This window comes from Homo sapiens, chromosome 5 (assembly GCF_000001405.40).
Source record: "Homo sapiens chromosome 5, GRCh38.p14 Primary Assembly".
NCBI classification, from domain to species: Eukaryota; Metazoa; Chordata; class Mammalia; order Primates; family Hominidae; genus Homo; species Homo sapiens.
This window is the reverse complement of record NC_000005.10, coordinates 180,215,144-180,241,370: the sequence shown is the minus strand read 5'-3', so window position 1 is coordinate 180,241,370 and position 26,227 is coordinate 180,215,144. Positions and strand designations below refer to the sequence as shown.

General features: G+C 44.5%; 1 protein-coding gene and 2 pseudogenes across 11 annotated transcripts in view; all 3 read left to right on the top strand.

Moving 5' to 3' along the window:
• The window catches only part of MAPK9 (mitogen-activated protein kinase 9), a 58,941-nt gene extending 50,713 nt beyond the window's left edge, over nucleotides 1–8,228 (top strand). For 8 of the 11 annotated variants that reach the window (NM_002752.5, NM_139070.3, NM_001364613.2 and 5 more), the window contains 4 exons: nucleotides 216–340; nucleotides 1,384–1,447; nucleotides 2,968–3,039; nucleotides 4,845–8,228. In NM_002752.5, coding sequence (NP_002743.3) covers nucleotides 216–340; nucleotides 1,384–1,447; nucleotides 2,968–3,039; nucleotides 4,845–4,987 — 404 coding nt within the window. In that variant the 3' untranslated portion in view covers nucleotides 4,988–8,228. Of the gene's footprint in view, nucleotides 1–215; nucleotides 341–1,383; nucleotides 1,448–2,967; nucleotides 3,040–4,839 lie in introns of all 11 variants that reach the window. The other 3 variants (NM_139068.3, NM_139069.3, NM_001364607.2) reach the window with 1 other exon arrangement.
• Nucleotides 13,630–13,728, top strand: LOC124901218 (uncharacterized; annotated as a pseudogene).
• On the top strand, nucleotides 14,349–15,038 carry RPS8P7 (ribosomal protein S8 pseudogene 7; annotated as a pseudogene).

The window sequence follows — 26,227 nt, the reverse complement described above, 5'->3', positions numbered from 1 at the left end:
AGCCAAGATTGCGCCACTGCATTGGGCGACAGAGCGAGACTCCGTCTCCGAAAAAAAAAAAAAAAATTTTGGGTTATATTCATCTTGAACCTATCAAACATTTCTCAAAATTAATATATCTTTGTTCTATCTGTGTTGTCATATTTAGTTCTTTATTGTATGATTCTGTTTGTTTCATATTAACAGCATTAATTTAATATTTGTTGTCACCCTAGCAAGTCAAGCCAGAGATCTGTTATCAAAAATGTTAGTGATTGATCCTGACAAGCGGATCTCTGTAGACGAAGCTCTGCGTCACCCATACATCACTGTTTGGTATGACCCCGCCGAAGCAGAAGCCGTGAGTATCTGTTTTGAAAAGATTTATATAGAGAGGCCAGGCTTATATTTCCTTGGATCTTGTCTGTCCGTCCAGAGTGGCTACATATGGGTAGCAAGTTCTCCATTTGGGGGCTCCCAGTTACAGAAAGGCCAAGTGTTGTCTGAGACCTGGGTCGCTTGCTCTTTTGCTGCTGGAGCCCCAGCTCAGAGTACCTCGGGAATGAACTTCCGCTTTGGTGCTACCAGTCTCCATTTTGCAAATGCTGCTGTGAGCTCATAGTTTATTAAGCATCTATTCTGTGCCATTGGCTTTGGTTACATCCTCTTGTTTAGGCCACTTAACCAGAGAGGCTGAGCAACTTGCTGAAAAATCACACGTCTGTTTATCCTTCCCTAAAGGCATTGTAGCTCCTGGTTCCCCCGCTGGAGGAGCTCCACTCTGAGTTTGGTGCTCACGTGCGTGTTTCTGTGTCAGCACTGGTGTGAGTGAGCTTTAGCTGTGAGGGAAATCACTGCGTAGTGGCAGGCTTCCTTCATGCCATGAGTGAAATACATGTTTATGTCATGGCCTGTGGTTTTGCCATCAGTTTAAACATTGTTTTATATAAAAAGAATCCAATTTATAAGCAGACTTTTATAACAGTCCATTTATGAGTTGGACATTGGATTTGGGAGTTCTCCCATGAAGAAAATGTAAAATTTGTTCTAAGAAACAACAGTACCTTCCATAGCTGCCAGCACAGTGCCTTGTCCATAATGGGTCTCTGGGAAACAGCCTGTGATGATGAGTTTCTAATGACATCTGGGCAGATGTCTGCGTTTTGAGGTCAGGTGATTATTAAGAGGAACATAATAACTCTTCTTTGGTTAACTTTTTCATAATTATTTTGATTCTAAAGTTGATATAATATCACATGACAAATCTTTATTAAACCACGTGTTGAATTAAACTAAATCCATATCATAAATAGACTAGAAGTCTTCCAAGCAATTTTACCTTTTTTAGTGCCTCATTTTTTTTTGAGGCATTACTGTTGACTTTACATATGATTTAATTTTTAGCCACCACCTCAAATTTATGATGCCCAGTTGGAAGAAAGAGAACATGCAATTGAAGAATGGAAAGGTAAAGATGGAGCTTATTTTGATCCTTCCTTTTGACATTTCTTCCAATCCTGTAGAGCAGAGGCTTTTCATTTTGTGACATTTCCCTTCAGGAAGGGGCAAGAAACCCTGCGACCCACTTAGCCTCTTTCTCCCCAGTTTCCAGTAGAAAATGAACTTGAAGAGAACAGAGTTAGAGAGGAACATTTATGAATTTCTTATCATTTGCTTCAAGAGGGAAAAATAATATTTTTTTCATGGCTTTTCACATATTGATTTATAAACTGAGCTTAGTAATTGTATCATACTTATATTGATTGATATGTTTTTAAGCCATGTAGTTGTACATATGTTTTAAAATCTAGTTTGGGGGAAATTGCAGATTGAAAATATGCAAATAGGTATTATTACCACTATAAGATTAACCAAACAACCCACAACAAACTATACCTGTAATGAAGAGGTTGAACTAACAATTTTTCATTAAGAAGCAGGATCAGTAGTAACTGAGAACCACAGTCAGAGTCAGTCAACACTGATGAGGGTCATGCCCCAGGGCCATCCTGGGGTGTGGGAGTGCCGGTTACCTGTGTGTGCCCGTGCTCAGCAGTGCATGCACACAGCGTGCTCACTGGCCTCAGTCAATGCTCACTGGCCTCAGCGAATGCTTGCAACGTGCTAATGTTGGTTTATGAATACTGACATTTTAGGAATCCCTCATCACTTACTTCGTAGGTAATTAGTTTTTCTTACAGATGAAAGTTGAGGAAAACCGAAGTTGAAATTAAGAAAAGACTTAGGCCTGTGGATTCATTTCTGGCCAGTGTGGGGGGCTCCTAGCCCACATGTGGGTGCTGGTTACCTTTGGAGAACCCCAAGTAACCACATAGAGAAACATATTCAAATGGGTGTGAGAATATCCAATCCCCTACAGTGTTCTGTGGGAGCCACTCCACTTCATAAAGCCCCCTTATGGATCCAGAACCACCCTACATGTTTTGCTGCCTTACTAGTTGCATTGAAAAAGATGTAATGTAGTCCAGGCGCAGTGGCTCACACCTGTAATCCCAGGACTTTGGGAGGCCAAGTGGGGCAGATGGCTTGAGGCCAGGAATTCAAGACAAGCCTAGCCAACATAGCGAAACCCTGTCTCTACAAAAACTACAAAAGTTAGCCAGGCATGGTGGTGAACACCTGTAATCCCAGCAATTTGGATGGCTGAGGCATGAGAATCACTTGAATCCAGGAGGTGGAGGTTTCAGTGAGTCAAGACCATGCCACTGTACTCCAGCCTGGATGACAGCATGAGACTGTCTCAAAAAAAAAAAAAAAAAAAAGAAGAAGAAGAAAAGAAAAGATATAATGTATCAAAATATGAATATTTTGGTCCAGGTAGACTATATTACTGAATTGACTCTGTCTTACAATTAAAAATAACAAATCGCAATGCCTTTGTTCCAGTTGATTTGGAAGCAGAGTTTAGAGATACAGTGAAACTGTTTAGAAACTGATTAAGCATTTTAACTTGTATTTTTATTAAAGAGCTAATTTACAAAGAAGTCATGGATTGGGAAGAAAGAAGCAAGAATGGTGTTGTAAAAGATCAGCCTTCAGGTTAGTGATTGCTTTAATTGATTGTATGATATTTTTCTTTCCCTATTCAACTTTTTTTTTTTGAGACAGAGTTTCGTTCTGTCGCCCAGGCTGGAGAGCAGCGGCGCGATCTCTGCTCACTGCAACCTCCGCCTCCTGGGTTCAAGCAATTCTCCTGCCTCAGCCTCCCGAGTAGCTGGGACTACAGGCACGCGCCACCATGCCCTGCTAATTTTTGTATTTTTAGTAGAGACGGGGTTTCACCATATTGGCCAAGCTGGTCTCGATCTCCTGACCTTGTGATCTGCCCGCCTCAGCCTCCCAAAGTGGTGGGATTACAGGCACGCACCACCATGCCTGGCTAATTTTTGTATTTTTAGTAGAGACGGGGTTTCAGCATATTGGCCAAGCTGGTCTCGATCTCCTGACCTCGTGATCCACCCGCCTCAGCCTCCCAAAGTGGTGGGGTTACAGGCGTGAGCCACCGCACCTGGCGTCTTTCCCGATTCAACTTTTATAAATGGCAGCAACATGTGAAATGCCAGCCTGGCTAGCATCAGATTTAAAAACCGCTGTATGAATAGCCAGCCTTTTTGGCTTGTCATAGTGGTGGTGGTGGTGGATGACATTTTACTGATGTGCCAGGCACTGAACTTTGTTATAAGCATTTCTCTTTCATCTTTGCAATAACTGCTGTCACCTCCATTTACAGATGAAGAAATTGAATTTAAAGCCTTTTCAATGTTGATAACCCTTTGTACTGGTCCCACCCAAAATGCCAATCTAAGTAAAATGGAGTATGGTATTCTTTTTGAGAAAATTGTTGATATCATTTTCCCATTTTTCTGCTTGATCTACTGATCTTCATAGTGGTGGAAGCCTCTAATGACCAGGTAGTTGTATGATCATGAGACTCTGATATGAGTCGTGTTCACTTACGTCTGAAGGATTCTTCCTGTTTACTAAATGAAACGCTCACGTTATATCATTGTCTCTCTCCCACTCCCACTGGGAAGCATGCACACACATGTGTGCGGATGTGCAGAGAGCACAGCTTACTTTTTATTCTTGAATTTTATGTTCAACATGACGTATGTGTCAAGCATCTAGAGATTATATAACTTCAGCAAGAACTTAGGTGCTTGTTAACTGAGCACACACGTATGACTGCAGACGTCGATCTCAGAGAGTGCATGTTGTGTTTTTATTCAAACCAGACTAAAATATGGATAGTAGGAAGTAGGATAGTTTCATTTGCTTTAAAAGATTAAAATGTCAGTTTTCTGGAGTTATAAAACCATAAAATATACAAGGCCACTAATTTTTTTCCTTTTTCTGGTATATAGTCTTTATTTATTGCAAAAGATTTCTTTGAAAGTTGATGCTTTTTTTCCTGTAGATTTAGTGTTTATGTTATAAATTGTTACAATTCAAGTGTCTGGTGACACTGGAATCCTAGTCAGGCTTAAGCTTTTGTGATACTGCATTTTCAGATAAATATAGCTGTGTCCTTTTGATGTCTGCTTGAAAGCAGCAGGTATTTTTTAAGTAGCTAACATGATTATACATGGCCACATATATGTTTAGCTACTGAGAAAAAAAGAAGAATCTTGCAAGGAAAGACATAGGAATATGGGACTCTTGGCCCAAAGAAAGACTCAAGGAAAAGTTCAGAAAGTCCAGCTGACTGACTTCTTGTCTATACTCATAGTTAGGATTGGGAAACTGCAAAAGGACAGAGCCGAGAAATGGCCTGCAGTCTCGCTGCCTGGATTTGCAGCAATGTCGTGCCTCAGATTTTATTATATTTGGTTTTCTTAGCACAGATGCAGCAGTAAGTAGCAACGCCACTCCTTCTCAGTCTTCATCGATCAATGACATTTCATCCATGTCCACTGAGCAGACGCTGGCCTCAGACACAGACAGCAGTCTTGATGCCTCGACGGGACCCCTTGAAGGCTGTCGATGATAGGTTAGAAATAGCAAACCTGTCAGCATTGAAGGAACTCTCACCTCCGTGGGCCTGAAATGCTTGGGAGTTGATGGAACCAAATAGAAAAACTCCATGTTCTGCATGTAAGAAACACAATGCCTTGCCCTACTCAGACCTGATAGGATTGCCTGCTTAGATGATAAAATGAGGCAGAATATGTCTGAAGAAAAAAATTGCAAGCCACACTTCTAGAGATTTTGTTCAAGATCATTTCAGGTGAGCAGTTAGAGTAGGTGAATTTGTTTCAAATTGTACTAGTGACAGTTTCTCATCATCTGTAACTGTTGAGATGTATGTGCATGTGACCACAAATGCTTGCTTGGACTTGCCCATCTAGCACTTTGGAAATCAGTATTTAAATGCCAAATAATCTTCCAGGTAGTGCTGCTTCTGAAGTTATCTCTTAATCCTCTTAAGTAATTTGGTGTCTGTCCAGAAAAAGTCGATTTATGTGTATTAATTGGCCATCATGATGTTATCATATCTTATTCCCTTTTATGCTATGATTTATTCTATCTTTTGTATTTCAGAAGACATATAATTAAATCTATTTAATAAATAAAAATATATAGCTTTTCTTAGATTTGTGATGTTTGGGGCTGAGAATTATCACGGCTAAAACCAAGACACTTATGTGGACATCTTGTTTTCTTTAAACTGTCTTGTCTGGGATGATTGTACATTCAGCTTTACTGCACGATACAATTTTAAGTTTTGCTTAGTGCTGCTTGAAATCCTAGCTACCTTATCTCTTTTCTTCTTGGTCTTCTAGACTTCTTATGAATTTAAAATGCTACCTAGAACTTCACCTTCTTTATTAGGTGCGTAACACTCCATCTTAATTAAATATGATGGCAGATAGGTTCCTGCATCCATGGCCTAACGTTGGAGTGGAATTTTACAAAATGCTCACTAGAGATCACTGCAGTCATTTCCTAAGTGCTTCCTTTGCCACAGACTGGCCTGGGTCCTTTATTTACCTTCCCTCATTCACTTTCCCTCGGCCAATACCACGTTCTTGATTTTCTTTCTTCACTGGAAGAAAGCAGATAAACTCCTCTTTGGTCTGTTTTCAGAGGCCAGGCTGATTCAGATGCCTGTTGCTATTGTTGCTCTCCATTGTTGGGAGGCATTCCTTTTCACAAGAATGTTCTGGGAAACTCTTCAGAGGACGTGAAGGAAATACCCTGAAGAGTCATGATTAACTATTGACTATTTTCTGATTTAAAACTGCTCACCTGAAATTGATACTTTTAGACTTTACGATCAGTAAATTATTCAGAATTCATGAAGATGCTGAGTATGTTAAGTGTCACTGCAGGAACGGAGCTGTGGTGATCACGTTTTGCCTGCCTGTGCCCATGTCTCTTCCCTTGAGCTTATTCTGTTGCTGATTCATATCTTGTGTTCAATTATTTTGGAAGCTTTTCAGTCGACATTCTGTAGAGTGTGTTCTGAGGAGGAACTGTGATAAGAAAGTTTATTATAAATATTATGTAAAATATATGGCTCTCTCTGCACCAGTTATATCTTATTGGTTGGTCATATCACTGGAAACTGGAACCTTTGATTAGCAAAATTAATATTGAAATAAGAAATAGTTCTTTTATATTGTGTCATTTGGACACTTTCAAGTACAAAATGGTAATAATAACTTGGATTGAGGCGGAAACACCTATTTTATGGCTATCTATCTAAACATCTTAAAATGGCCTTCTCTGTAATACACTTTCTTTTAAAAGACTTCACTAAATCTATCTTTAAAAGGAAAAACAAAAGGGAGAGGTTGAAAATGCGCGAGCTGCCCTGCACTGTGTGATGCTCCCTCCCCGGGAGACGTGGACGGGGGACGAGGCACCCGCAGACGCCCTTCTGCTCACTCGCTCCTCTGTGCATTCAGCGAGCCACTTGCCACAGATGGAGCCCGTGACGGTGTGGAGGGTTTCCTGGAAAGGCCATCTTCCACCAGGTAGAGGCGAGCGTGCCTAGGACAGGCCACAGGGCTCCACAGAAATACCTCACCCCAGCTTCAGGGTTCTCTCTCCTGAGCCTAGATTTGCCAGGGTCTTGGTGCCACGCAAATGGTTTCAAACTGATCTCTATGGATAAATGCTGATGTTGGTTAAAGAACTGAAAAATGTGCTCAACTGTTTCATCTTTTCTATTTTATTTTTGTAATTTATATTGTACACAACCCAGGAAGTAACTATTTTGGACATGTATTTTTATAAACCAGGTAATTTACTATTATCCTGGAATTTAGACTAGGTTTGTTTCATTTGTTGACTTAGTTTCCAGCCAAGAAGGAAACGACTGTCTCCCCCATGTCCAGGTCTCAGTTTCAAGGGCAGAGTCCAGAGAGCAGACAGAGTTCTGTGAGAGCAGGAGAGCAGTCTGGAAACCCTGGCTGTGCATACCGTGTCAGCCGTGGGCCTGGAGATGGGAGCAGGTGAGACGCAGAGCCCCAGTACTGAGAGGAGGAAGCCCTCTTACAGGGCCCCTTGCCCACCCCAAGTCCGTGTCTGAAACACGGAGCGGGTGCTGCTTCAACCCGCATTTAATGCTGTGTAAGTAGCGATAACCACGTACGAGTCTGTCTGGTTGATTTCTAATGTGACTCCTCTGGTATTTCCTCCTGGTAATAAATACAAGTGTGACCTTTCAGATTGCATATCTCAAAAGTAACATTGCTAATGTTTTATAATAAAATATATTATGTGTGTTTTGGTTGGTGAAAATAATACAGACTACATTTTAAAAGATAAATGTATAGCATGTCCAATTTTTGTGTGTTTTTACATGGCAATTAGATATTTCTCCATCACCATCTCTGATGACAGATTTAACATGAACACAGATAGATGATAAAGTGTCATGCTTTTGATCAATATTAGCAAGAGGTTTCACACTGAGAGGCAGAAACATTGCTGTTTGTTCTCTTATTGAAAATATTCTGCAAATTCCTAAATCTGTGTTTTCAAAACTAATGGCAGTAAGTTTTGACTTCACCAATATGCAGGTCCAATTCAGAGTATTGGTGTAATTGTTTTCTCATGAGGCGTGGCCAGGAGAATTCACCAGTCAGCCTTAGTCATGTTACTTAACGTCATTCATGGTGCTTGTGGCTTTGTGCCTGGGATGAGCCAAGTTCATCTGACGTCTGTGTTTGAAGCACTTCAGGCTGTTTAGTACTTAATACCACAGGAGTGGAAGGACACTCAGTGGCTCACTTTCTTTTCTCTGCTTAAAAGGACTAGAAGCATTCCAGAGAGATGAGTACCAGCTGTGTGTGTGTGTGTGTGTGTGTGTGTGTGTGTGTGTTTAAGACGGAGTCTCACTCTGTCTCCCAGGCTGGAGTGCAGTGGCACTATCTCGGCTCACTGCAAGCTCCGCCTCCCGGGTTCACGCCATTCTCCTGCCTCAGCCTCCGGAGTAGCTGGGACTACAGGTGCCCGCCACCACACCCGGCTAATTTTTTGTATTTTTAGTAGAGATGGGGTTTCACCGTGTTAGCCAGGATGGTCTCGATCTCCTGACCTCGTGATCCGCCTGCCTCGGCGTCCCAAAGTGCTGGGATTACAGGCGTGAGCCGCCGCGCCCGGCCCAGTTGTGTTTTCAAAGGTCTTGAAAGAAGGAAGATGTTTCTTGAGATACTGGGGTCTGGGTCTGGGTTCCATTTCTCTGTCCTATTCCCTCTTCCCTCTTTCACTGTAGACAGCACTGAAATGCTTTTTATTTATTGACTGAAGTAATACACATAGGTGGGGTGGGGGTTTTCAGGGAGGAGGGAGAGTGCCCATATTTCAAAATAACTTCATAATTAGCTACTTGCATTATCTTGAAGATTCTGTGGCTACTTTTGTGAATTTAAGCATAAGGTGGTTACCTTTGACAATAAGGCAGTTCTTTGATACTGTTTTAATCAGGAAAATTGGTAACAAAATCAGTAACAACAGTGACAGAGTGGTCAGTCACATCTCCTTGCAGCTGAATGTAACCGTGATGGAAGAGAGATGCGCGTCTCACCCTTCGGAGCTGGTCAAAGGCTGAGTCTTCAAGGCCTGGAGACCGCATGCTCTTCCGCAGTTAGAATGCCCAAGGGTCACTGTGAGCAAGAGTGTTTGCTCCTTCCATTTCCTTTCATGGTGTTTGAGAGTTGGAAGGGAAATCCAGAATCATTTTGTCTAACCCCCACCCTACAATAGTGAGGGGGCCTTACGCCCGAGAAAGAGGGTGCCTGGGCACCTCAGCACCAAGAAGGAGCCGTGGGTCTGCCCTGACCCCGTGGGTAGCATGTTCTTTCAAATCTCACTCTTCTCTTTTAGTCATAAACACTTTTGAGAATCTGCTGACATCTGTGACCTTCTTCCAAGAAAAATGCCATAAGCACAAAATTTTTGCCAAGCTTTCAGAGGAGCCCTGGACCCCAGTGGATACCATGTAAAGAGCCCCTTTCTTTTCTTTCTTTCTTTTTTTTTTTTTTTTTTTTTTTGAGACAGAATCTCACTCTCACCCAGGCTGGAGTGCAGTGGCGCGGTCTCAGCTCTCTGCAACCTCCGCCTCTCAGGTTCAAGCGATTCTGGTGCCCCAGCCTCCCGAGTAACTGGGATTACAGGCGTGCACCACCACGCCTAGCTAATTTTTGTATTTTTAGTAGAGATGGGGTTTCACCATGTTAGCCAGGTGAGTCTCGAACTCCTGAGCTCCAGTGATCCACCTGCCTCGTCCTCTCAAAGTGCTGGGATTACAGGCATGAGCCACTGTGCCCGGCCAAAAAGCCCCTTTCTAGACATAGCTCCTAGATGCTTTATGTTCTCGGGGGAGCAGAGCCTCAGGAGGGTTCAGCTGCCTTTTCTACCCTTGCTGGCCCTGACTCATTTGTACACAAATCTTGGGTGTACAGGGCATCGTCACTCAGCTCCAGCACTGGTCGGCATTCTTACTTGATGGCAGAAAGAAAAGACAAGGACTTTGTTCCAGTGAACTGGGTCATTTCCATCACTTCCTCCACATGGAACTCAGGAACTAAATGGAAATGTACAAAGACACAGTTATCATTAAACACATCTCCTAATTGCAAAGGAGTAGTTCTGGCTGAGCTTTGAATTAAAATCTTTCACTTAAAACCATATTTTACATTCATTCTCCAAAAATATATTGTCTCCTCTTCCCTCAATCTCCCTGTGATTTTCTTATAACTTTTATAAATATGCTTTGAAATTAATTTCATTCACACATTTTGAAGTATGCTTTGAAGTTAACTTCATTTGCTCATCCAGAGTGGAATGCACAGAGGGACTCTCTGGGTCACACCCATTCAAGTAGGCATCAGCGTGAAGAGTTCCTCACAGCTGGTCACCCAGCCCCTGTTCACATGAAGGGAATTCCTTTCCCACTGAATCGTTTGTAGTTTTAACTGCTAGAACGTTCTTTCTTAAACTGAACTGACACCTGGCTCCTGTAACTTCTGCCCATGGCTCCTAGACCTTTCCTCTGGGCAAAATAGAGCAAGTCCGACCTGCTTTGAATAGCAGGCTGTAATATGTTAGTTGGAAAGGTAAGCTCCAAGTCTTCCCTTCTCTATGTTAAACTCAAAGTTCATCCAACCCTCTCCTATGAAAAGGCCCCCACTACTGAGGAGGCTGAGGCAAGAGCATTGCTTGAGCCCAGGAGTTTGAGGCTGCAGTGAGCATTGATGAGACCACTGTAGCCTAGGCGACAGAGTGAGACCCCTTCTCTAAAAATAAAAATCTCCCAGAGCCTCACCACCTTGGGGACCCACTTGTCAGCTGCACCCCTAAAATATGGGCCCAGAAGTGGACACAGTATTCGAGATACAGCCTGAGCAGGGCACCCTCTAAGGGCCTGCATTAATTGACACACTGTCGGGTGGCCTCAGCCTTGAGAGCCGTGTCACACTCTGGGTCTAGGTCCATCTCAGTTCCTGAATTTTGTGATGTTGCAGAGTCAATCCCAGTTCTGTCATCGCCACAAACATTCTCTCCCAGCTTGACATTTGTGGTCCAAGGGCATGAACCTGTCTCCTGAACCTTCCTCTGCATGGTGATGAACAGCCTTGAGAGCAGTGCCTTCAGGCAGTCATCAGGACAGGTCCGTGTGGCTGTTGTCTCCCCCGTCAGCGGGGCAGTTCAGCTCTGCAGCCTCGCCACACAGCTGCAAGGTCACAAAGAAGGAGCTTGACGGATGGGTCACAGAAAGCATGAATGCACTTCAGCGTCATTCTCTGCTCCATTTACTAGTCACATTTCAAGAAAAAGAAATGAGTTTGGCACCCTCCCTGGCTCTCAGAGTGCATTCTTTTATTTTTACTTGAGAGGGGCAGGTGGTGAGCGCCCACCTCCCCCTTGATAGCCACATTTTTGCTATCCTGTGGCCACTTAGAAAACATGGTGTTTTGTCCCAGTGTCCATAGGTCCGAGTGAGTAGGGGAGCAGGGCACTCAGTGGCCTTGTGTTGTTTCGGTGTGAGTAAAGAAGTGATGTGTTTTGAAGCTGTGTGACTCTGATTCCACAAAGGACCATACAACCAACGCCAGGCAGCTCTCCTGTTGCCTGACGACTACAAAAATGCCTCCATCAGGGCAGAACCTGGCTCACGCTGGGTGTGACTTCAGACGCTTCTCACCTTGAGCATCCCTTGCCTTTTTTTCCAGGGCCTAGTCAACACCCCATGCATTCATAGTGCCCGATTTCTGGTTGTCATGTCCTTAAGGATCTTGTTATCCACCATGGAACCAACTTACAGCGCCAGGCAGGCTGTCCTGCAGGATGTGCACCCTCCAGCTTTGTGTGTCCACTTCTAAGAGTTTGCCCTGACCTGCTCCCCATCCCCAGGATTTCCTGGAATCTGGAAGGTACAGATAAAGCTTTGCTAGATTCACCTGCATCTTTTGGTTGTAATACATTTAAGTGATATTGTGTCCTTTCTATTAAATCACACCAAAGGACATTTCGTATCTTCTTAACCCACTGTCAGTGATGCTAAAACTTTGATTTTTGATTTTTAAGTGTTTTTTAGAGGCAGGGTTTCTCTCTGTTGCCCATGCTAGTCTCAAGCTCCTGGGCTCAAGCAGTCCTCCCTCCTCAGCCTCCCAAAGTGCTGGGAGTATAGGTGCGAGCCATCACACCAGGCCAGTGATGCTAAAATTGGCCACTGGTTAGGGTGATGACAGTCCCGTCCTCCGTCACTCAGTCACATTTTCCTCCCTGTGAAGAGGAAGTTGTCCACGTGGGCTTCCTTTGGGGGTGCCTCATCCACCATGTCGCGTGCTGTTGGCCTCAGTTGACAGTCCTGGCCATGAGCAAGAATTCTTTGAGGGCTCGGGGAAGAGTGACCTCCTTAATTTGTCCCGTTGCCATTATGTGCTGGCAGTTTGCTGTCAGCGAGAGCTCCCACGTGTCAGCCAGGGCTGTTTGGTGGTCCTGTGCCCCGCCTCAGCCAAAAGGCAACCCTGCACCCTGTTCTTCCCCTTAAGTGGTCAGGGCTCAAGGCGTGGTGTTGGTTTCATAGCTGCCTCAGGCGGCATCACACCTTATTTCTCTGTGTTTTTCATTCCTCTTTTTGAGACTTGACTTGCCAAAACTGTAGTCAGGGAAGCTCTTCAAAGCTGAGTCCCCTGTCCTGTTGGCTGACCCCATTACATTTTAAATTTTAATTTTGAAATAAGAAAACTTGCAAAAATAGCACAAAGAATTCTTCCTCACCCAGATTCTCCAAATGTTATTTCACCACCTGCTATATCCTGTCTACATGCATGCGTCTGTACATGCGTTTATACGGATATGCAGTCATTCATTTCACCATTGATTTTTTGCAAGCAACCAGATTTTAAAAGTGTCTTAACTTCGGCCGGGCACGGTGGCTCACGCCTGTAATCCCAGCACTTTGGGAGGACAAGGCGGGCAGATCACAAGGTCAGGAGATGGAGACCATCCAGGCTAACATGGTGAAACCCCGTCTCTACTAAAAATACAAAAAATTAGCCAGGCGTGGTGGTGGGTGCCTATAGTCCCAGCTACTTGGGAGGCTGAGGCAGGAGAATGGCGTGAACCCGGGAGATGGAGCTTACAGTGAGCCAAGATTGCACCACTGCACTCCAGCCTGTGCGACAGAGTGAGACTGTCTCAAAAAAAAAAAAAAAAGTCTCAACTTCATGTATACATCATGTATACACATGTATTTTATAGACAGACACAGGTATAGGTAGCCATGTACATGTGTGTCTGCATAATAGCGTTTGTAGTGAGCTACCTACATGCGGCTGAATGCGTTGGTGTTGACTTCAGAGAAGCTACTAAGGAGTCAGTGTGGCTTCTGAGAGGCCTAAGGAGTAACTCGTAACCTTTGGACATTTTTCTAGACCTCAAGACTTCATAAATAAAGCTCCAAGAATGATACCAACTCTGCTGATGGAGGTGGAGATGAAACAGGGAGAGAGACCAGAGGAATGTGAGAGGATGTTAGGGACGCACCTGGGTTTGTGGGATGGATGCCTAACATTTTAAAAAATTGTTAAAATTGATAGACAAAAATAAAATTCATTACTTGGGCCAGAAGGAAATTCAGTCAGGAAAAGGGGAGAAAAAGAAAATATCACCCTTGCTTCTTGGCCTTTTGGCTGAGATCAAGTATAGTGTTTGTTCTTATCAGAAATATGGTAAATAGGAAAAATGAAATAAAAGCATAAATAAGCCCTAATATACCAGTAGTTAAAATAAATGTAAATGACCAAAACACACTAATCAAAAAGAGTTAAGGTCCGTGAGCAAATAGAAAACCTAACAATATATAAAATTACAAATCATGCACCATGTAGTATATGTATAATATATAACTCTGTGTGCGTGTGTATGATGATTGACAGTACCATGAGGAGAAACAAAATACCAAAAAGTGTGGCTTGAAATTTGAATGCACCCCTCTCAGGAATGGACAGGTCAGGTGTGTGAAAAAGGAGCGAATAACTAGAAGACTGGAATGCCACAGCTCTCTACCTGGGCCCAGAGAGAGCACTAGACCCAACAGGCAAATTCTTTTCAACACAGGGAACTTACAGGAATACTGCCTGTATCAGTCCACAGAAGAAGTCTCAGTAAATCCCAAAGTCAACATCATAGGATAATGTGATACAATTCAAAATAAATTTTAAAATATCTTACACATCTGGAGACTAACAATACACTAAGCAATCTAGGTGACAGAGGAAATCATAAGGAAAAATTTGAAATTCCTAAAAGTGTGTGGCCTCAACAAAGTATGTGCCTAATTTGGTAAGACCCAGCCAAGGGTTAAATATGTTTATTAAGAATAAGACAGATTTGTCTTTCCAGCCAGCGCCAGGACAGCTGGCACAAGCACCACAAGACCGGGGGCAAGAGAACGCCCAACGACGAGAAGTGGAAGTATGAGCTGGGGCGCCCTGCTGCCAATGCCAAGATCAGCCCCCACCACATCCACACAGTCCGTGTGCAGGGAAGTAACAAAAAATACTGTGCCCTGAGGCTGGATGTGGGGAGTTTCTACTGGGGCTCAGAGTGTTGTAATTGCAAAACCAGCATCATCGACGCTGTCGACAATGTGTCCAAGAATGAACTGGTCCGTACCGAGACCCCGGTGAGGAGCTGCATCACACTCATTGACAACACACTGTATCAGCAGTGGTACGAGTCCTACTATGTGCTGCTCCTGGGCCGCAAGAAAGGGGCCAAACTGATTCCTGAGGAGGAAGAGATTTTAAACAAAAAATGATCTAAAACATTCAGAAGAAGTATGATGAAAGGAAAAAGAATGCCAAAATCAGTCTTCTGGGGAAGCAGTTCCAACAGGGCAAGCTTCCTGCGTGCATCGCATCAAGGCTGGGACAGTGCGGCCGGGACATTGTGGCCAAGCAGATGGCTACGTGCTAGAGGGCGAGGAGTCAGAGTTCTATCTTAGGAAAATCAAGGCCCGGAAGGGCAAATAAATCCTCATCCTTTCAGTCTCCACCCATGTAATAAAGGTGTTTATTCTGTCAAAAAACAATTTTTTAATGAGTTCAAAGACCAAAAAAAAAGAGAAAAAATAAATAAACCAAAAAAGGAAAAACAAAACAAAAAAAATGAGTTCAGCATTCAACTCAGGAGGCAGAGAATAGAGCAACAGAGCAAGCCCAGAGAAGCAAAAACGGAGGAATAATGAAGATAAGAGCAGGGATCAAGAAACCAGAAGACAAATTGAGAGAAAAAAATTAGCAAAACCCCAAAGGTTAATAACTTAGACAAATCTCTGGCAACACTGATGAAGAAGAAAAAGTCAGTGCAAGTAACATGCAAAACGGCAGACGGAGATAACTGTAGGCATGCAGGGTTCCAACAGATGTGGTTGTCCACATGAAGCAGATATTCGTAGAAATACCAAATTGGCTCAAGAAGAAAGATTAGAAGAAATACCAAAATTGGCTCAAGAAGAAGAATAGCTATGCACGTCACACATTTGAACATGTTTGATGTAATACTGACAGTTTTATGAGGTCAGTATTATTAGCTCCATCTTAAAGTCAGGGAAAGAGAGGCAGGAAGAGAACCTGAGTTCCCACCGTTCCCTTCCTTCAGAGCTCCTTTGGCTTATTGGCCAAATTCAGTTCCTTACTGTTGTAGGACCGAGGTCCCCATCTCCTTGCTGGCTGTTAGCTGGGGCCACCCGTAGTTCCTAGAGGCCTCTCTGCGTCCTTACAAGTGGCCTCTACATCTCAGAGCCAGCAGGTGCGTGTCGAGTCTCTCTCACGCTTGCAATCTCCGACTTCCCTTCTGCTGCATATATTCTGCTCCAGCCAGATAATTTTCTCTGCTTTTAAAGGCTCATGTGATTAGATGGGGCACACCCAGATAATTCAGGATAATCTGCTTATTTTAAATCTTTTAACTTTACATCTTTGTAGTTCTTGTTGCCATGTAACGTAACGTATTCACAGGTTCCAGGGATTAGGAAGGGGACATCTTTGAGGAGCCATTACTCCGCCTACCACAGCAGACACTGCCCAACGATTTTCCCAAGTCATTTTTTTCCATTTACATTCTCACCAGTGGTAGATGAGAATTCAAGTTGCTACATATCCTCTCTAACCTTTTCCTGCTTTAAGGTAAGGTAACCCATCTTCTCCTCTGTTTTACCCATTCTGAGGGTGGGTAATGGTCTTGGTTGTAATTTGCAGTCAGTGGTGACTATTCAAGTTAAGCACATTTTCATGTTTATTGACATATGAATATCTTTTGTGAAGTTCCTTTTCAAGCCTTATACCCATTCTTTTTCAGAGATTCTAATTCTCTGTCAAAATTTTTTATCCTTTTACCAGTTTGTCATCTTTCCCTCTATTTTCTTGAACCATAGTTATTTTCTTTTTCCTTTTTTTTTTTTTTTTTTTTTTCTTGAGATGGAGTCTCACTCTGTCTCCCCCAGGCTGGAGTGCAGTGGCGCAATGTCACCTCACTGCAAGCTCCGCCTCCCGGGTTCACGCCATTCTCCCATCTCAGCTTCCTGAATAGCTGGGACTACAGGCGCCCGCCACCACGCCTGGCTAATTTTTTGTATTTTCAGTAGAGATGGGGTTTCATCATGTTAGCCAGGATGGTCTCGATCTCCTGACCTCGTGATCTGCCCGCCTCGGCCTCCCAAAGTGCTGGGATTACAGGCGTGAGCCACCGCATCCGGCCCAGTTATTTTATTTTTTCGAAGTATTTTTATTTTAAAGTCCTCATCTGCTCATTTCAGTATCTGGGTCATTGGTGGGGCAACATCTATTGTTAGTGGCCGTGTATAGTGTATAGTAATTTAGTGTATAGTCTATAGTAATTTTTTACTGTGTGCTAAACACCCCCACTCCAGGTCCCACTCACCCCACAGCCTCAGAATTCAGCAAATGCTTTAGGGAGAAATTAGCCTCAACTCTCCAGTCTTCTGCACGTGCTAAAAGCTTTGCTGGTTCTCTTCCTCCCAAAAGTAGCCCTTTGTCTTCTTTAAACCCCATTTCCCCAGTCCATGCATAGAACCAAGTTCACCGTGGAAGAGTTTTCCCCCTCGGGAATTTTAGTCCATCTAGTCTTTGTGCTTCCATGACTCTCTGGTGCCTTTGAAAATGTGTTCAGCTTTTTCTGGTTATCAGAAGGAACACTGGTCTGCCACAATGTACTACCGAGAAGCAAAGGCCCTTTTGACTTTTTATTATGAAAATGCTCTCATATAGGAAAGAGAGAATGGAATAATGAACACTCTTCTTTATTCCCTTGGCTTAACAGTTGTTAACTTTTTTTTTAGTATCTCTTGTTTTTGACTGAATTGTGTCTCCTACCAAAATCCTTATGTTGAAGTTCTAACCCTCAATGTGACTGTATTTGGAGTCAGTTACCTTTTAGGAGGTAACTGACATTAAATGAGGCCATAAGGGTGGGTGGCCTTGTAACTAGAGGATGAGAGAGAGGTCCATCTCTCCACATGTATGCACTGAGGAAAGACCATATGAGGACACAGGGAGAAGGCAGCCGTCCACAAGCCAGGAAGAGAGTCCTCACCAGAGCCCGAACATCCCAGCACCCTGATCTCAGACTTCCAGCCTCCAGACCGTTTAAGAAAATAAGTTTCTGGGCCGGGCGTGGTGGCTCACACCTGTAATCCCAGCACTTTGGGAGGCCAAGGCAGGCAGATCACGAGGTCAGGAGATCGGGACCATCCTAGCCAACACGGCAAAACCCCATCTCTACTAAAAATACAAAAAATCAGCCGGGCGTGGTGGCGGGCGCCTGTAGTCCCAGCTACTCGGGAGGTTGAGGCAGGAGAATGGCATGAACCCGGGAGGTGGAGCTTGCAGTGAGCCGAGATCGCACCACTGTACTCCAGCCTGGGCGATAGAGCGAGACTCCATCTCAAAAAAAAAAAAAAAAAGGAGTTTCTGTTGTTTAACCCAACCCAGCGTGTGGTATTTTGTTATGGCAGCCTATGCTGACTAATATGTCTTCTTTACTAAGTAATTTATTGACATCATTAAATTTTATCCCTAAATTTTCCAGTATCTGTCTTTAAAAACTAAAGTTAATGCCAAGTCTATATTCAAGTTTTCTAAATTACAGAACTTTTTTGAAAGAAAAACAGTTGTACTAAATCCCAGTGCTGCTTTAAATTGTTTGTGTTATCTTATTTAGGTATATTTGAACATAAAATCAAGTATAACCAGTACGCTGAATAAGCAGGGCCTATGTGACATAACTAATATGCGATTTTATTTTACTCCCTGACTCCTTAACAGTTAGTCAGTGGGGGAGCAATTGATTAAAAACATTGATAGACCCCATGCTCTTTCTGGTCTCATAGAAAACAGAAAACTTAGTCTAAGCAAAAAATTCCGTTTCAGTTTAGTTATTAAAATGGCTAGTGCTGTGTGATATTCAAACTTGCCAGATTGATTCAGAGATAAATCTTCTACCTTCCCTGCTTGGGATATTCAATATACAGGAAGGCAGGGAAGGTGGCATGGGATATTCCTTCCCTTCCCCATATTTCGCTTCTATCCCTCCTCTCTTTTATTACTAGCTTGAATTTTTTTTATCCTACTAGGGTCAAACTAGGGAGCAGGAGATAAGGGATGGGAAAGTCCCACACTTCACTGGCCCATCACACTATGGACTTGAACTCCCCCGTCTTTGAGGATCTGTTTCCCAGGACACCACTCCTGATACCAGGCTGGGTCACCAAGTGGGGACCAGTCAGGGAAACAGGACCCACACTAGGTATTTCAACAAAGAATTGAAGGTAGGGACTTGGCTAAACAGATGTTGGAAGACTTAGAGAACCAAAAAGGAAACTGAGGTAACAAATAACTTTTAAGAGGTAGCTACCACCCTCTAGGGATTAAGGATTAAAGGGAAGAGTGCATCTGGGCTTATCAGAGCCTGAAAGTTCAGAGAAGGGCCCCACGGAGAGGGAACGAGACCTGGGAGGAGCAGCATGGCCAGGCTGATGGTAGGCCCTGTGGGAGTGGTGATGAAGCTGTCCTGGGAGAGCAGAATGAAGCTAAGTCTGGAACCAGCCGCCCCTGTTGGCATGAAGGGCTGTTGCTGACATGCCACCATCAGGACAGTGGGCACGACGGGAAGGAGCAAGTGCCTTCTTGTTTCCTTCTAGAACCTCCCATTTGCAAGGTCAACAAGGAGTCGGCTGAGAACGGAGAGATGTGTAGCTCAGCCGAGGCTAAGCATAGGAGCGAGACTTGGAGCTGAGAGACAGCAGCTTGTTATCTGGCACGAGGAGACGGGGTCCTTCCCCGCCCCTCGTTTTGCTCCCATGTCACTTCCTCCTCTTCAGTTTCGGACCCCACCAAGCTCAAAGCAGGGAGAAGGAGGGGAGGGGCACAGAAGGTCATCCACCCCATGGCTCTCTTGTAGGAAAGCATCAGGCTGTCTGGCCTGGCCTGTGTTTACACATGTCTTGTTCTCGAATGGAACGCAGTTGGGGTGCTCACAACATCCCCTCACAGCCTGCCTCCGTGATCTCCCTGGGCAGTTCTTTTTTTTCTTTTTGGAGACGAAGCCTCGCTCTTGTTCCCCAGGCTGGAGTGCAATGGCGCAATCTCGACTCACTGGAACCTCCACCTCCTGGGTTCAAGCGATTCTCCTGCCTCAGCCTCCCGTGTAGCTGGGAATACAGGCACCTGCCACCAAGGCCGGCTAATTTTTGTATTTTTAGTAGAGACGGAGTTTCGTCATGTTGGCCAGGCTGGTCTCGAACTCCTGACCTCAGGTGATCCCCCCGCCTCAGCCTCCCAAAGTGCTGGGATTACAGGTGTGAGCACCCGGCCAACTCCCTGGGCAGTTCCTGAAATCCAGGCAAAGCCACTTCTCGCTTCATCCCAGGGCTGGTTACGTAACATTTAGGGGCCAGAGCGAAATGAAAAGGTGGGGCTTGAAAATCAGGGAAATCGTGCTATTAGCGTTAAAGCACTTTTTTCCTTTCTGGCTCACTCTCTCTCCCCTTGTCCTGGCATTTTTATGTGCCATTTAATGTTATTCTAAGTAAATAAAATATGAGGTTATCATTAAAATGTAAGATGAACATTACTGTTGGTTTTTACATTGTTCAATGCTTATTTTAAATGCAAATATAAAATAATGCCTATACAGAATCACTGAAATTACACAATTTGTCTTGTGTAGCTTATACATGCATAAGGATTTCATTCTTACCAGGGCAACTCTGCATAAGGCCAACTCAACCACAGTCACGCGCCATATAATGGCCTTTCAGTCTACCGCGGACCATGTAAGACAGAGGTCCCATAAGATTATAATACTGTATTCTACCTTTTCCATGTTTTGAGGCCAGGTGTGGCGGCTTATGCCTATAATCCTAACACTTTGGGAGGCTGAGGTGGGAGGATCGCTTGAGGCCAAGAGTTCAAGACGAGCCTGATTGACATAGTGAGACCCCATCTCTACAAAAAATGAAACAATTAGTTGGGTGTGGTGGCATGCATCTGTGGTCTCAGCTACTCAGGAGGCTGAGGTGGGAGGATCTCCTAAGCCCAGAAGTTGGAGGCTGCAGTGAGCTGTGGTCGTGCCACTGAACTCCAGCCTGGGCAACAGAGTGAAATCCCATCTCAATCAACAAACGCATATATTTTGTTTAGATACAAAAATACTTAGCACTGTGTTACCATTGCCTACAGCATTCAGTACAGCAACTTGCTGTACAGGTTTGTGGCCCAGGAGCAATAGGCTTTGCCATACAGCCTAGGTGCTGTGCCATCTGGGTTTGTGTGAGTACAACCTGAAGTTCTCACAATGACAACATCACCTAACACATTTCTCAGAATGTGTCTCCGGTGTTAAGCGAGGTATGACTGTCACTTTTTGACCTATACACATTCTACCTACTCTCTCCACCTGCAGCTTACTGATGAGTGCGGAAGGCTGACAGGGAAAGGAAGGACTGGCCCCATCTTCCCCTTTCCTTTTCTGTCACTATTTTTGGCTCTGTGAATGACTGATACAGGGAAGCAACCCGAGTGAGAAAGGCTATGATCGGGAAGAAATGGAAACCCTGAACAGACAAGTAATGAGTTCCAAAATTGAATCAGTAATAAAACACCCACCAAGCAGAAAAATCCCTGGACCAGACAGATTCACAGCCAAATTCTACCAGACATATAGAATAACTTGTACTAATCCTGCTGAAACTATTCCAAAAAATCAAGGCCAAGAAAGGGACTCCTCCCTAACTCATTCTATGAGGCCAGCCTCATTCTGATACCAAAACCTGGCAGAGACACACATGAAAAAAGAAAACTTCAAGCCAATGTCCCTGACGAACATAGATGCAAAAATTCTCAACAAAATACTTGCAAACCAAATCCAGCAGCATATCAAAAATCTAATCCACCTTGATCAAGTAGACTTTATCCCTGAGATGCAAGGTTGGTTCAACATACACAACTCAATAAATGTAATTTATCACATAAACAGAACTAAAAAGAAGAGCCACATGATCATCTCAAGAGATGCAGAAAAGGCTTTTGGTAAAATTCAACATCCCTTCATGTAAAAAACCCTTAACAAACTAGGCATCAAAGGAGCATACCTCAATAAGAGCCAAATATGATAAACCCACAGCCAACATCGTATTAAATGGACAAGAGCTGGAAGTATTCTCCTTGAAAACTGGTACAGTACAAGGATGCCCTCTCTCACCACTCCTTTTCAACGTAGTATTGGAAGTCCTAGCCGGAGCAATCAGGCAAGAGAAAGAAAGAAAAAGCATCCAAATAAGAAAAGAGGAAATCAGATTATCTCTTTTCTCAGAAGATGATTCTATACCTAGAACACCTCTTATTCTCTGCCCAAAGGCTCCTGGATCTGATAAACAACTTCAGCAAAATTTCAGGATACAAAATCAATGTACAAAAATAAATAGCATTTATTTACACCAATAACATCCAAGCTGAGGGCCAAATCAAGAATACAATCTCATTCACATAGCCACAAAAAGAATAAAATATCTAAGAGTATAGCTAACCAGGGAGGTGAGAGTTCTTTACAGTGATAATCACAAACCACTGCCCAAAGAAGTCAGAGATGACACAAAACAACATGTTTATGGATAGAAGAATCAATATCGTTAAAATGGCCATACTATCCAAAGCAATTTACAGATTCAGTGCTATTCCTGTCAAACTACCAATGACATTTTTCATAGAATTGGAAAAAACTATTCTAAAATTCATATGGAACCAAAAAAGAGCCCAAATAGCCAAAGCAATCCTAAGCAAAAAGAATAAAGCCAGAGGTGGCACACCACCTAACTTCAAACTATACTGCAGGGCTACAGTAGCCAAAACAGCATGGTGTTGCTATAGAAACAGACATATAGGCCAATGGAACAGGTTAGAGAACCCAGAAATACAACCATCTGATCTTCGACAAAGCTGACAATAACAAGCAATGAGGAAATGATTCCCTCTTCAATAAATGGCACTGGGATAGCTGGCTAACCATATGCAGAAGATTAAAAGCAGACCCCTTTCTTATGTCATATACAAAAATCAACTCAAGATAGATTAAAGACTTAAATGTAAAACCTAAAACTATAAAAGAAAATCTAGGTTGTACCATTCTGGACATTGGCTCTGGCAAAGATTTTATGACAAAGACTCCAAAAGCAATTGCAACAAAGATTGACAAGCAGGACCTAATTAAAGAGCTTCTGCACAGCAAAAGAAACTATCAATAGGGTAAACAGAAAACATGCAGAATGGAAGAAAATATATGCATCTGACAAAGGTCTAATATCCAGATTCTATAAGGAACTTAAACAAATTAACAAGGAGAACACAACCCCATTAAAAAATGGGCAAAGGATATGAACAGACACTTCTCAAAAGAAGACATACAGATGGCCAACATCTATATGAAAAAATGCTCAACATCACTAACTGTTAGAGAAATGCAAAGCAAAACCACAATGAGATACCATCTCACACAAGTCAGGAATGGCTATTACCAAAAATAACAGATCCTGGCGAGCTTGCAGATAAAAGGGAATGCTTATACACCGTGGGTGGAAATGTAAAGTAGTTTGGCCACTGCGGAAATCATTTTGGATATTTCTCAACTAAGAGGTGAAGTGCCATTTGACCCAGCAATCCTTTACTGGTTACATACCCAGAGGAAAATAAATCATTCTACCAAAAGATACATGCATGCGTATGTTCAACACAGGACTGTTCACAATAGCAAAGGCACGGAATCAACATAGGTGCCCATTGATGGCAGATTGGATAAATAAAATGTGGTACACCATGGAATACTACACAGCCATAAAAAAGAACTAAATCATGCCCTTTGCAGCAACATGGATGCAGCTGGAGGCCATTATCCTAAGTGAATGAATGCAGGAATAGAAAACCAAATACCACACGTTCTCATTTATTTTTATTTTATTTTATTTATTTTATTTATTTACTTTTTTGAGACGGAGTCTTGCTCTGTCACCCAGGCTGGAGTGCAGTGATGTGATCTCCGCTCACTGCAAGCTCCACCTCCTGGGTTCACGCCATTCTCCTGCCTCAGCCTCTCCAAGTAGCTGGGACTACAGGTGCCCGCCACCACGCCCGGCTAATGTTTTGTATTTTTAGTAGAGACGGGGTTTCACCGTGTTAGCCAGGATGGTCTTGATCTCATGACCTCGTGATCCACCCACCTCCGCCTCCCAAAGTGCTGGGATTACAGGCGTGAGCCACCGCGCCTGGCCTTTATTTTTATTTTTTGAGATGGAGTCTCACTTTATTGCCCAGGCTGGAGTGCAGTGGCACAATCTCAGCTTACTGCAACCTCTGCCTCCTGGGTTCAAGCAATTCTCCTGCCTCGGCCTCCCAAGTAGCTGGGATTACAGGTGCCTGCCAGTATGCCTAGATAATTTTTTTGTATTTTTAGTAGAAATGGGGTTTCACCATGTTGGCCATGCTGGTCTCGAACTCCTGACCTCGTGATCCACCCGCCTCGGCCTTCCAAAGTGCTGGGATTACAGGCGTGAGCCACCGTGCCCGGCCAACATGTTCTCATAAGTGGGAGCTGAACACTGAGTACATTTGGACACCAAGAAGGGAACACTAGACGCTGGGGCCTACTTGAGGGTGGAGGCTGGGAAAAGGGTGAAAATTTAAAAAAAACTATCAGGTACTGTGTTTAATACCTGAGTGATGAAATAAAGTGCACACCAAACCCCCACGACATACTATTTATCCGTGTAGCAAACTCGCACTATACCCCCGAATCTAAATAAAAGTTGGGAAGGGGGAAAAAAAAAAGAAAGAAAGGCTATGATCAGGTCACGTGGCCATTCGTGGTTTTTAGGACACCATTGCCTTCTCTCTGTCTGACGCAAGTTCTGCTTAGAACAGGAAGCATGGCCCTGGGGCTGTCAGTGCCCCGCTGACTCAGTTGTCCAGTACTGTGCCTACCTGGAACCTGCCTGAGTCTGGGCGGCCTGAAACAGCCGTCCCACCAGCACCCTGCCTACAGGGGCGTCCTGAGCCCTAAGTGTGAATGGGGCAAGCAAGGAGTCGCGTGGACACGCAGCCTGAATGTGTTTCCTCACAAGCATACTCCGTGGTCCCAGTGGACTTAGCAACCACAAATTCAAAGATCAAATTACTAAGAACTTTCAGATGGTGACAGGCTAAGGGCCCGCACACCTGCCCAGGTCGCAGCCCTGCAGGGGCTCTGTTCAGCCTGGGGATTCTGCAGTCCTGCAGGGTCTCCTCCCCGGCCCCCGCCAGTGCTTCGCACACGGCGCACATGTGGCCCACCAGAAACCCTCACCACGTTCGCCACAGCTCCCTGCAGCACCTCCTGCCGACGTTCACGGCAGCCGCTCACTCTTGCTTGGAGGTTTTCTGTCCTGTGAACCTAAAAACTTTGCCACACGTGTGCCCAGGTGTCCAGCCTGTTCGCCAAGGTGCCTGATTCACATGTGCTGAATGAGCAAACACGGGCACCCCTGGCAACTTCCCACAAGGACATGGGCACCCTGGCTCCCCGACAGCCCGTGGCACGTTCCGGTTGTCTGCGGGCCCTCTGGGAAAAGCGACAGGCCCAGCCATAATGTACGGGAAGGAAACAGTTGAGGCAATGGCTCCCTAACTTGGCTGGGCTCAGGACCACTGGAGCACCTGCTAACAGACTCGGATTCCCCAGCCCTGCCCGAGCCCTCTGAGTCAGAAGTCTGGGCAGGGGCCTAGGGGACATGCGCCTTAAGCCAGCTCCTGGGGGAGGCCAGCACTGCTTCACGACCACTCTGCCCAGCCAGGCTGTTGGCTCTGGGGAGGGGAATAGCCCAAGCCCAGTCCCATAGGCTCCCACCCACACGGGGCAGCCAGTGAGAGATGTGGGAGGCTTGGGCATCGCCTGCGCGAGTCACCCGATTTTCCCAGCCTCTCTTGTGGGATGGTGTCTTCCTTTCCTATTGCTGCTGTCGCAAATTACCACCAACGTAGTGGCTCAAAGCAGCACAGTTCTGTGGGTCAGAAGTCCAGCGTGGGTCTTAGTGGGCTGAAAGCAAGGTGTTAGCAGGGCTGGTTCCTTCTGGAGGCCCTTGGGGAGAATCTGTTTCTTGGCATTTTGCAGCCACCCACATTCCTCTGCTCATGGCCCCTTCCTCCAAAGCCGGAAGGGCAGCATCTCCCAGACCCCGCTCCCATCGCCGCCTGCCTGATTGCCTTCTGCCTCCCTCTTCCACGTGTAAGGACCCCTGTGATTACGCTGGGCTCACCGGGATAATCCAGGATCATCTCACCATCTCAAGATTCATCTAATTCCACCTGCCAGGTCCCTTCGGGCACCCAAGGCAACATATCCACAGGTTCTGGGGATTAAGAAGTGGTCTTCTTCAGAGGTCGTTATTCTGCCTACCACAGATGGGGATGGTAAGCCTGGATCCCTCTACACCAGCATTTCTGGAGTTTGCCCATCTTCGGCTTGCATCAGCTTCACCTGGGCCACTTGTTCCAGATACCGAGAGCAGGGCCGCCCAGACCCCAACCCCACACCCGAGCCGTGGGTTGCTGGCTTTTCCTAGGCATTCCAGGTGATTCCACACATGCTGACATTTGATAGCCCGGGAGAGATGAAACCTCGAGTGTGACAGGTGCCCTGGGGTACTCTGTAGGGAAGAGGAGGG